This window comes from Homo sapiens, chromosome 11 (genome assembly GCF_000001405.40).
Source record: "Homo sapiens chromosome 11, GRCh38.p14 Primary Assembly".
Classification (NCBI taxonomy): Eukaryota; Metazoa; Chordata; class Mammalia; order Primates; family Hominidae; genus Homo; species Homo sapiens.
Genome location: NC_000011.10, coordinates 11,436,373 through 11,448,116, shown reverse-complemented (window position 1 = coordinate 11,448,116; position 11,744 = coordinate 11,436,373). Strand labels below are relative to the sequence as shown.

At 49.4% G+C, this 11,744-nt stretch overlaps 1 protein-coding gene across 6 annotated transcripts in view; it reads left to right on the top strand.

The window, feature by feature from the left end:
- The window catches only part of GALNT18 (polypeptide N-acetylgalactosaminyltransferase 18), a 351,129-nt gene that overhangs the window by 173,889 nt on the left and 165,496 nt on the right, over positions 1-11,744 (top strand). The window lies entirely within an intron of this gene.

Below are 11,744 nucleotides of genomic sequence, written 5' to 3'. Positions count from 1 at the left end.
GATCTTGCTGCTGGGTTTGGAGGCCGTGTTCTTTTAGGGAGAAGATTCAGTTCAGCTCCACAGACATTCATTGAACACCTGCTGTATACTGTATAATTGGGTATGGTTATTTGTGGCTCAGGGAGAACCTGGCTCGGCTAGGATGAAAGAGCAGCTGAGGATGTCCAAAGGGAGAGAAGAATGTGCTTTCACTTGCAGGTCATTTATTAAGCACTTCTGTGCCAGCATAGTCTAGACACAGGGATGATACGGTTTGGCTGTGTCTCCACCCAAGTCTCATCTTGAATTGTAGTTCCCATAATCCCCACATATTGTGGGAGGGACCAGGTAGGAGGTAACTGAATCATGGGGGTGGTTTCCCCCATACTGTTCTCCTGATAGTGAGTAAGTTCTCATGAGATCTGATGGTTTTATAAGCGTCTGGCATTTTCCCTGCTGGCTCTCATTCTCTCTCCTGCCACCCTGTGAGGAGGTGCCTTCCACCATGATTGTAAGTTTCCTGAGGCCTCCCCAGCCATGCAGAACTGTGAGTCAATTGAACCTCCTTCCTTTATAAATTACCCAGTCACAGGTATTTCTTCATAGCAGCATGAGAATGGACTAATACAAGGGACAAAGCAGTGAACAAAACATACAGAAACCCCTGCTTCACAGAGCTGGCATTCTAGTTGGGTGGAGGCAGAGAGTAAACAAAACAAAGAAGTCAAATATGCAGTATGTTAGGTGGTGGTGAGTGCTATGGAGAAATATAAAGTCGGAGAGAGAGAGAGACACCTGGGACAAGAGTGGGGAGCTGCAATTTTTCCTGCGTGGTCAGAGAAGACCTCAGTAAGAGGTAACATTTGAGCAAAGACCTGGAGGAGAAGAGGAAGCAAGCCATGAGGGTACTGTTGGAGGATGGGGGGAGTACCTTTCAGGCAGAGGAAGTGGCAAGTGCAAAGGCCCTGAGGCAGAAGCACGCATGGCACGTCATGTTTGAGGAAGAGGAAGGAGGCCCCTGTGGCTGGAATGGGGTGTGTAAGGGGGCAGTAGTTGGAGATGAGGCCAGAGGAGCAACAGGAAGCAGATCATTAGGGCCGTGGTTCTCAACCTTGCTGCCCATTCTACACATCACGGGAGCCTTAAAAAACAATCCTGATGCCAAGGCCACACCCCAGACCAATTAGATAAGTGTTTCTGGGGCAGCACTCAGCTTCAGTATTGTTTAGAGCTCCTGGGTGATTCCGATGTGCAGTCAAGGTGAATCCCAGGAGAAGGGCTTCATAGGCTTTTGCAAGGAGTGCAGCATTTACTCTGTGAGACAGAGATCCATGGGAAGGGCTTGAGCAGATTAGCAATATGCTAATTGTCACTTGCAAAGGTGCCTGTGGCTGCTATACTGAGAACAGACCGAGGGGGCAAGGCTGGGAGCATGGAGACCAATTAAGAGGCTTCCAGGTGAGAGGCAGTGGTGGCCTGGACCATGATGGCAGCAGGGGAGGTGCTGAGATGGGGTTGGATTCTGGAAATATCCTGAAAGTGACCTCAGCTAAGTGTCATGGGGCCTCAGTCCACAGAGGAGCTGCAGAGACCACTCCTGGGTCTGGAGAGGAGCTGGTCTGGTGGGGGCAGCACACAGGGGCTCTGGAGAAGAGATCATCAGGAATAGGGCCCTCTAGTTCCTGCAGGGGACTTGGCCATGACCTTGGCCAGAAGAAGAGCCATGGACTTTTCAGTCAATCTGTTACAAAACACAGGCACAGCTCAATCCATATTTGTTCAAAATTAAAGGGAAAATGGAAAGGAAGCCAAGGAAAGGGTGGATTTTACAGATTATAACCTGGTTATAACAACAACTGGGATTCCCATAGTGCTGGACGTGCCGATAATGCCCTTCCCATTTGGACCACATTAACAGGGCAGTGAAGGTACGCCAGGCAATGGTAGATTCTTCCGGTTTGAGTTGAGGAAACTGAAGAGCGGAAAGAGTGTTGTCTGAGGTCACACAGTCAGATAAGCAACTGAGCTGAGCCTTGAGCCCATGTCTCAGATGCCGGATCGTGGCTTTGACATCGGCCCACCATTGTTTATTTGACTGTGCACAATGCTGCACAATGAGAGCGCATGTGGGAGCCCTTGATCTTTGACTGAGAGAAGCGCCCCACCCACTCTCACCTGTGGGAGGAATTTGCCTGAGAGAGGGAGGAACTCTGAAGGACTTTAGGTGGGCAGAATTCTACAGTTTTCTTCTGAGCTGCTGGAGAGGAGCAATCGTCCTTACAGAGAGACCTTCCCTCTGCACAGAACTTTACAGTCTGTGGAGCTTCCACACCTCCCCCGTGGCACCAAGCAACTTCTGTCAGCCCCTTTTTCCAGACAGAAAAACAGAATCTCTGATAAAAGGCAGAGCAGAGCCTCCTCACTCCTCAGGGAGGGCTCTGTGAAAGTGGCTTTAACAGTGGAGGGTTCTCTTTGCACATGTACTTGGAAGGCTCCGTCTAGCTCTATTTCAGCTCACGTGCCAGACGCACGCCCAAGATTGGAGAGCTGTTGGTGGACCACACAAAACAAGTATGTGCTTAGGTAAAACAGTGCCTCCTTTTGTCTGTTAATTTCCATAAAAACATCCCTGCCTTGTAACAAGGCCATTGCTTGGCTCATCCTTCTTAATTCATTTTGGAAACATCTTTTCAAAATTTTACTCTCATCCTATTTCAAACGACACTGGCAAACATTTATATAGGATAAGCCATGTTTTCAGGCATATGTTTGTCACTTAATTTATAAGAACTCCTTGAGTCTTCACAGTAAAACCTTCTGAGGTAGGTCCTATGATTAGCCTTCATCTTACAGAAGAGGAAACTGAGGCATGGGGAGATGATATCTCCTGCCCAAGGTCACTAGTGGCAGAGCTGGGGCAGGTGGTCTGGCAATAGAATTTGTGCATGTAACCACTGTCCTCACACTGCCTTGAGGCATCTATTTGTGTCACTCTAATGGGAGTGGCAGGCCCGCTTTAACAATATAGCACTGAGCATTTGCTGATCAGTTTTGGAGGGAGGAAGGTCGGCGTCTACATGTTGGAAAAAACTGTTTTAGTGCACATGAAACCAAGGCTTGTTGCCAAGGCTCAGAATGATGCCTGGGCTCTGGCTAATGTTGGGATTTGGACTGAGAGGATGTGGGTCAGCATGTGGAGAGGAAGCCCACAGTCACTGCAGTCTCTGGAAGATTCATGCTGTGTGGCTCTTGCCATAGCCGGAGCCCCTGTGCCTCTTGTGAATTCCAGTTTGCTCTTCGGGACTTCTGTTCCTGCTGCTTGTATTCCACACTTTGCTCTTGGTATTCTTGGCTCTTTTCTTCCAAATTCTAACCCTGATGTTATTCTTGGCTTCATTCCTAGATCAGAAAGTGAGTGTTCAGAATCCTGCCCACCCTCCTTTCTCTCACCTCTAGCTAGTCACTTACTTTGTCTCCTTTTTTTCTTGGTACTGAAAGATGTAATCTGACCCAGCTTGTCATGTGGCTGAGATAGGACCATGCTGTGCCAGTGCCTTATAGACAAGACAGGACACAACTAGAAGGAAAAACATCGGTCCAGCCAGTTGCTAGGCCTCGTTTATTTTTTTATCCAGCCAACATTTACTGAGCACTCATGATGTGCCCGGCACCCAACAAAGCGTCGGACGGATATCTCCTGGAGTTTACACTGAGATGGGAACCCAGACAGAGGTTGGTGGGAGGGCGAGTCTGCTGACCATTTCCCAGGCTCCGTGGCGGGGAGGACTTGTCCTCGCAGGCTTTTAGTAAGGCAGTGGCCTGGATGTGATGGTCACAGAAGCACTGTCCCTCTGGTGCCTCTGTGGCAGGGAGGCAGGGCCTGGAGGGTGGCATCTGCAAGGCACCTCTCTGTGGCAGGGAGGCGGGGCCTGGAGGGTGGCATCTGCAAGGCACCTCTCTGTGGCAGGGAGGCGGGGCCTGGAGGGTGGCATCTGCAAGGCACCTCCCTGTGCCGGCTTCCCTGGGGAGAGTTGTTTTAACAGTCCAGACTCTAGAGAGACATCTGGGATCTTTGAACTTTGGGGGGTCCTGGCTTCATGGATAGGCAGAATAATGGCCTCCCAAAGATGTCCACATCCTAATCCCCCACACCTATGAATATGTAATAGGCATAGGAAGTGTGCCAGTTTTTCCAACCTCATCTGCACAAAGAGGGGACCAACTTCCTCAAGGATCCAGGCCCCTTGGCTCCTGGGGAAATCAAAATGCCATTCATCCTCCTTGCAGTTTTGTAGCAGCAGTAGGGCAGACCCCTCAGCCATCCAGGTGGGAAGAACTGGGGGAGGCAGGACACTTCAGACTCCTCTGGTGAAGCCTCCTGGACCTCATCCATGTGGGGCCTTGGCCAGGACTGGGCAGGGGTTCACTTGCTTCCTTCCTGGTCTGGGAAGATACCTAGTCTCAGGGTTGAAGGGCAGAAAGTCTTCATCCCAGCCTGGCTGGACCCGGCTCCATCCCCCATGGCCCCAGCCGCAGGCTCCAGATGTCCTATGGCTCTCTCTGTGTGCTTCCTCCTGCCTCTCGGTGTCCACCCTCTTTCTCCTTATTGGTAGGCTCCAAAATAATCTAGGAGGGGCAAGAAGAGGAAAAGGAAACATCAAGTCTCAATTGGGGTGTGGACTACAGAGGCGTACACATGCCAAAACTCATTGAACTATACACTGAAGCTCTGTGCATTTTACTGTGTGTAAGTGAAACATCATTTCTTTTTGAAAAATGGAGATGTGAGAAAGCGACTGAAGAAGTCCTTTGCCCAAGGGGTGGAGAGGTAGGAGGAGGGGACATCTTTTGGGAGGTCACTGAAAAGATGGGTGTGAGTTGTGGAGAAGGAGGATGGCGCAGGGTTGAAGTGAGCCAGCCAGTGTGAGGTGATTTGGGAAGGTGGGCTTCTCACCCCAGCCGGGCCAGGCAGGTGGAACATGTGTGCTCTCCAGTTCTGCGGCTTCGGCCTCAGACTCATGTCACATTCTTTTCTGCAAGAAGTGGCTGTTTCCAAACAAGGGGCACAGGAAAGTCTAAGGGATCGTGGGTGTGGATAGAAGTGGGGGCTCTGGTCTCAAGCTCCAGGGTTGTGTTTCCATGGCAACTCTATGGCCTCCCTCCAAGGCAGCTCAAGGCAGAGCCTCTGGCACGCACTGCCTCCTGCCTCTTGCCAGCAGATCTTCAGAGGCTCCTGAGCCTTATCAGTAATGACTTTGCCCTTCTCACCAGTGTCCCCTGAGGCCCATGTCCCTCCCTCCCAGGGGTTAGGATGGACTGGCTCTTGGGTTTGACAGGTGGGTTAGGGCGTGGGGCTAGGACAGGAGGCGTTGGCAAAGGTGGTCAGAATATGTTCTGCAGCCCTAGGTGGGAATAATTGGGACAGATCCACACACAGGCTCACAACAGAGCCCTGGGTCTGGAGCTGGAGGTAATCCTTTGTGAGCACCAAAGTGATAAGAAGCAGGACAGGATAGTAGCAGAGGAAGAATATAGCCCAGAGCCAGGGGCACTGGTCTTCCTGGGAGCAGGTTAGGGACCATTTCATGGGGCTCTGAGTGTTCGGTGGGCAAGATTGTTTTAACAGTCCAGACTCTAGAGAGACATCTGGCATCTTTGAACTTTGGGGGTCCTGGTTTCATGGGTAGACAGAATAATGGCCTCCCAAAGAGGTCCACATCCTAATCCCCCATACCTATGAGTATGTAATGTTACATAGCAAGGGGGATCTATGGTTGCCGATGGAACGAAGATTGCTGATCAGATGGCTTTAAACTAAGGAAGTTTTCCTGGATTCATTGGCTGGGCCCAATCTAACCCCAAGGGCACTTAAAAGTGGAAGAGGGAGGCAAAAGATCAACCTGAGAGATGACAATGTGAGAAAGACTTCATCGGCCACTGATGGCTTTGAAGATAGGAGACAGTTATGAGGGAAGGAACGTGAGCAGCCTCAAGTTGCTGGAAAAAGCAAGAAAATAGGTCTTCCTGAGAAAGTAATGCAGTGCTGCACACCCCGATTCCAGCCCAGCGAGAACTGTGTTGGACTTCTGACCTCCAGCATGATGAGATGATAAATTTGTGTTGTTGTAAGCCACCAAGTTTGTAATAATTTGTTACAGTGACAATATTAGTATTAGGAAAACAAGACAGTGTACAGCCTGTTGCACAGGATCCTGGAAGAAGAAAGGCTCTGTGATTGGTTTAAGGCTCTGCTGTCACTATACTAAAGTTCATAACAATAATTTTTAAACAGGGCACTGCATTTTCCTTTTGCACTGGGCCCCACAAATTCTGTAGCTGGCCCTGGAGGAGGAGGGAGATGGCTCCAGCAGGAGCAGGTAGGCCATGACTGCTGGACCATCCCAGAGTTGCTAACCATGAGCGAAAGATTCACGAGCCGTCACCTGCTCGCTTACTGTGTGCCAGGTTCTGTACAAATGCTTAACATACACTTTCCTATTTAATTTTATCCTCATGTGGCTCTGGGGTTGTTATTATTATTCCCATTTTATAAAGGGGAATACCGAACATTCACAAGGTTAGGAAATTTGTTCAAATTCCCACAGGCGCTATGTGGCCGAGCCGGTATTTTTACTGGGGTCTTATGATTCCAGGACACTATTTTATCAGCTTGCCCTGCCCAGCCCTGCCCAGGTGAACTTTCCTAGTTTGGGATCTTGCCTCTGTGGAGGAGACCCAGAGGTCTATGGACAATGTGTTCTCCATGAAGGCAACTTAAGGACAAAGGGTTAAAATAAACATTCTTAATCATGATTTTGCCATTGAATTGAACACACTAACTGTACAAACAAAGGGGAATTACTCTTTAACTAAAGTACTTTGGGAAAATACCTCTGGTTCTGGTTAATATTAATTTCGTTGTGGGCCAAGAGTATAATGTTATTCTTGAAATGTAATCTTGAGCTATATTAATAGAAGTATAATGTTTTAAAAGAGGGAGGTGATAGCTTTGTTCTACTCTGCTGCTCAGATCACAACTGCAGAATTGGGTTTTAAGAGATGTTGAGAAAGTGAAGTATTTACAGGAGGACAACCCAGAAGAGAAATTCGGTAGTATGACAAACAGGTGAAATTTCTGTTTAGATTATAGAGTAGTAGTTAAAACCTGGTTCCCCACTTTCCGAGGCCAGGTCTCTCATTTATAAGCTGGGTGACCGCCAACAAGTTGCTTGGCCTCTCTGTGCCTTGGTTTTCCTATCTGTAAATTAGGGATGGTACTGCAAAGTTTGTGTAATGTTTGTAGAGCTCATGGGCCACTGCCTGACACATAGGAACTGCTATTTAACTTTTAGTCACTTTTATTGTCTGGGTCTCTGATTTGTAAAAAAGAAGACTTGGGGGAACATGTTCATGAGTTTAACAACCTGAAGGACTGCTATGTGGACAAGGAGCACATGGGACAGGGCACTGCCCTGGCAGTAGATGAGAGCAGGGCCAGACAGGCACTGCAGGACAGGTTACACAGAAGTCCCTGGGGGAGTAATTTCTCTCCAGCCCCAGAATTCTGGGCGTCAGAGGCCGAGCCCTGAGCCAGGCTTTGCTAGAGAGCAAAGTTGCCCCATTCTTCCTTAGAATCCGCCTTCCCTTGCCCTGCGGATCTATCAGGACCTGCCTTTCCCGGCCCCAGCAGATCTGCCCTGCCCCACCTTCCTCAGCTGTAGGTGCTATGGGCCTGGCCTGCTCACTGACAAACCCACCACACAGAGTGTCCCTAACGTGGCTTTTCCATCAGAGCCAGCTGGCTTTTGTTCCCTGGGTGGCTGTTCATTCAGCCCAGGGATCCCACATTCCCCAGATTTCTAAGATGTCTTAGGGACAAATGGTATCCCTGCTTCCTGTTGGTTGCTTACGTTGTAAATGATTCTCTTTCCTGATTTCCTATTTTCCGTCTACATTTTACATAGCAGAGCCTTTCTCTAAATTGATAAATTCACCTGAAAGGATGATGGTTGAACTTCTGCCTCTGGATGAAAGTTGGATGTTTTGATGATCACATATACTTAGCAGTTTACTCATCAGCAATTCTTGCACCAAATTCTGCTCTTAGATGCAGGTCTGGCCGATTTCTCCTGCATTGCAGAACTCCCAGTTCGCAGATGTCCATTGTCTCTTCCATATCTGGGACAGATGTAGTGTCTTGCCAAATCTCTGAAGTCCTGGATATATTTAGTATCCCCACCCTGCCTCCATCATCCTGTTCTTCACCCCTTTGGCTTGTGGGATGATCTAGTCTTATTGCTGCAGTCAGGCAGGGAGTAAATGTACAACTCAGTGATTCCATTCCCATCAGGTCATGGTAGAATTCCCATCCACAGAGCCCTTATGGACCTGAATTCTTTCTGCTGTTCATTTATTCATGTGTTCACTCAGCCCATCACCAGGTGCATTCTGAATTTCTACTCTGTGCTGAACTTCATACCCAGTATTAGGGATACCTGATGAGCAAAGCAGACACGGCCCTAACCTTGTACAGCTTATAGTCTAGTGGAGACACTGACGTTTGTTAAATGATCACATATAAAAACATGTTGCAATAGCATGTACATGGCATGAAAGAAAAGCAGAATCTGTGAGAGTCTCACAGGGGACTGGACTCCAGCCCAGGAAGGGAATTGGTCTTTCTCTACTGGGTTATGTACGTGTTCTCAGGGAGCAAGGAACCAAACCTATGCAGGTGACCACAGGTGGTTGGGATTTTTTGAAGGCTGATGAAGGCCCACAATCACACAATGAGAAGCCACACAGGCAGGCTCTGGAGGAGGCAGCGTGGTTCAAGACATCCTGGACAGCTCCAGCCTGCCATCCTCTTTGCCCCACTTCTGCTGTGTTTCTAACAGTGACTTCATGTCCACGTCTACAGTTCACTCACTGACAACGCCCTTCTTCCTATTCATCATTTCTGCTCCCCTGCGCCTCACTTATCATCTTCTTAGGATCTCCTACATTCAACCCCTCCATTGTCCAGTGGCTGGACAGGGCCACTGGTCATTCTTTAAAATTACTAGATCCAGCTACGCAGAGCTTCTGTGCTAGGCTGCCTCATAGGCCTGCAGCTAGCTCTTTGATGGCTATTTGGGGCTCAGGAAATCAGTCACTGGTCCTGTTAATTGTGAGTCAAATGGAGATGCCACACAACAGAAGACACAGCAGCCTCGGTGCAAGGAGTCACCGGGATTGTACATCCCAGAGGCAGGAGTGTCACAGGAAGACCATGTTGGGCTTCAAAGACTCAGTAGTGTTGATCGTATTTGTCCATGTTGTCCTGCTAGACAGAATACAGCCTCTTCATTCTTCATGCAGATTTGGCAGCCTGGGAACAACTCCTTCATTTCGCCCCTCGCTCAAGGTCTCTGGGTTGCCAATGACACAACACCACTGTCTCACTGTCAGCACTTCTGGGTGGGTATGGAAAGGAAGATATAGAAACCATCATTCAGCAGGGTTATGAAGACAAGCTTTGGAATCAAATGAGCCCAGGTTTAAACCCTGGAAGATAACTTACCATCTCGACTCTATTTCCCTCAACTGTTAAATGGGGGATAATAATGCTGTTTACCGTACGGAATTGTAGAAAGGAATAAAATGGGGAAAATAGTAAAAACATCTAAACAAGTTTCAGCATGGTTTCTGGCATATGGTAAACAGTAAATGGAAGTTTTTAGTATTATTTCTGAGTATTCCGCGTGGGGCAGCAAACACCCTGCAGTCTCTTAGCCCCAGAGGCTATGGGGATACAGATACCAGCCAGAAGGAGGGACAGTCTTGATTGTTCTCTTGGCCAATGGGAACCTCCATACTGCCTTCATCCTCTGGTTTTATTATGTCCTGCCATCTGGGAGCTGACAGGCCTGGGAATCTAATCTGGAAAGATCTGGAAGAAGCTAGATGTATCTGAGTAAGGCCAGAGGATAATCAAGCTAGTCCCATGCATACAGGTAGGAGACAGAGGCTGGAGTGAGGCCATGGTGGCCTTGAGGGCCAAGAAGACAGTGCCGATCCTGGGGCCAGACCCTCTCCCTGGGTGTATGTCCCAGGGGGTTAGTGAGCCTGAACCCTTGTATGCTGACTACAGCCGAGAGAGGAGGGACTCTCCAGGAAAAGCCTGGGGAGAAAGCAGGACCAGGAAGATCCCCTGAGGGGAGTGGTTGCCTGGAGTGCCACCGTCTCACTTGCTTTGTCAGGTGGGCCCCACCTCCACTCCCAGAACCCTGGCATAGCTGGATGCTGTTCCTAGTGTGTCTTGGCAGACAGACCCCAATTCACAGTCTACTTTGATCTTCATTCTAGAAGGGGCCTGCTTACTCTTCCCACCCCCCACCCCCAGGTCAAGCAGCTTCTATGAACAATTCACTCTGATAGACTAGGACCTTGCAGACTTGCTGAGGTCAAAGAGGGGAGGGTCTGCCAGTCCAAGACGGAGGTGTCTGGCTATAGCGCATGAGGTTTGGCCACCGCCCCAGGTCTTATCTGGTGGCCGAGAACTGGGCTTTACCTCACTTATTCCTCCACTGCTTCCCCGCCTCTCACATGATCGTACAGCACTGAAGCCCTTGTTGTAAATTTGCCTCATACATATCTCCAAACAGTCCTGGGGGATCTCTGCAGAGAAGCCCCCTAAGTTGTTGCTCCCCATCCCTGCATCTCCTTCTGTGTGCAGAGCTCAATAGAATGGAGTCTGTCATGACCATCAATTCCGGCTTATTAGACAACCATATCCCTCCCCTCTCAGAAATGCCTTGTTTTTTTTATCTCTAGTGGAAAATGGCTCAGCTTTCAACAAGAATAAAAGTAAAAAGGGAGGTTTTTATGGCTTAATTTTACAGGAGAATATGCCTGTTCTCAAAATGAGCATGGGCTCGGTCTCGTGCAGTTGTGAGTTCTCGAGGAGCTTAAACACGGAAGGGCTGGTCCCAGAGTGTGACTCCCAGAGCTCTGTGTCCTCAGCCCTTCTCTGCAGAGGTGAGCAGAGAGGCAAGTGCAGAGGCAGACATCAGGGCAGAGGGGAGGGAGGCTCTGGGCGAGTAGGCAGGGTCCCGGCTGCGGCAGGACTGGAGCAGAGTGTGTGGGTGGCCCAATTCTGGAAAATCCAGGTGCTCTGGGAGGGCATCTTAGCAGTACAGATTTGGGAGCAAAGGCCACTGGGTCAGTGCTGGGTTGCCAGGCCGAGAAAGTGGCTGGACTCTGCAGCAAAAGCTCTGGGCTTGGGTCCAGAGCAGTCCTCTCCCACGCAGCTCTTGGAGGCGTGTTCTTTTCAAGGTGACTTGGACTACAGCACAAAGCCCTCTGTCCTGAGTTCAGTGTCTGCAGTGATGAGGATGGCATGACCAGGAAGGATGTAGATGTCTTGCTTGATATGCTCTTCTTCCCTCTTTTTGCCCCTGCCCTTCAGCAATGTACATTCTGCTTCAGTGTTGAGGTGAAGATACGAACTACAGACCGTGTCATGATGTGGCATGAACGTGTGTTTTGTGGAAACTGAAAGGGAATTTATTCAACAAACACCAATGGAAGACCTGCTGCTTGCATCATGGTGTGAGGCAGTGGGCAGGAGGCTGTGAGCAAGGCCAGTCTGTGCCCTCAGAGCTGGTGGTATAGGCATGGGGGACCGCCTGACCTGGTGTGCCTAGGACTTTCAGTGCTGAAACTGGGAAGGTCCTGGGCAAACTGGGATGAGCTTGTCACCCTACATAGTCACGATGGTGGCA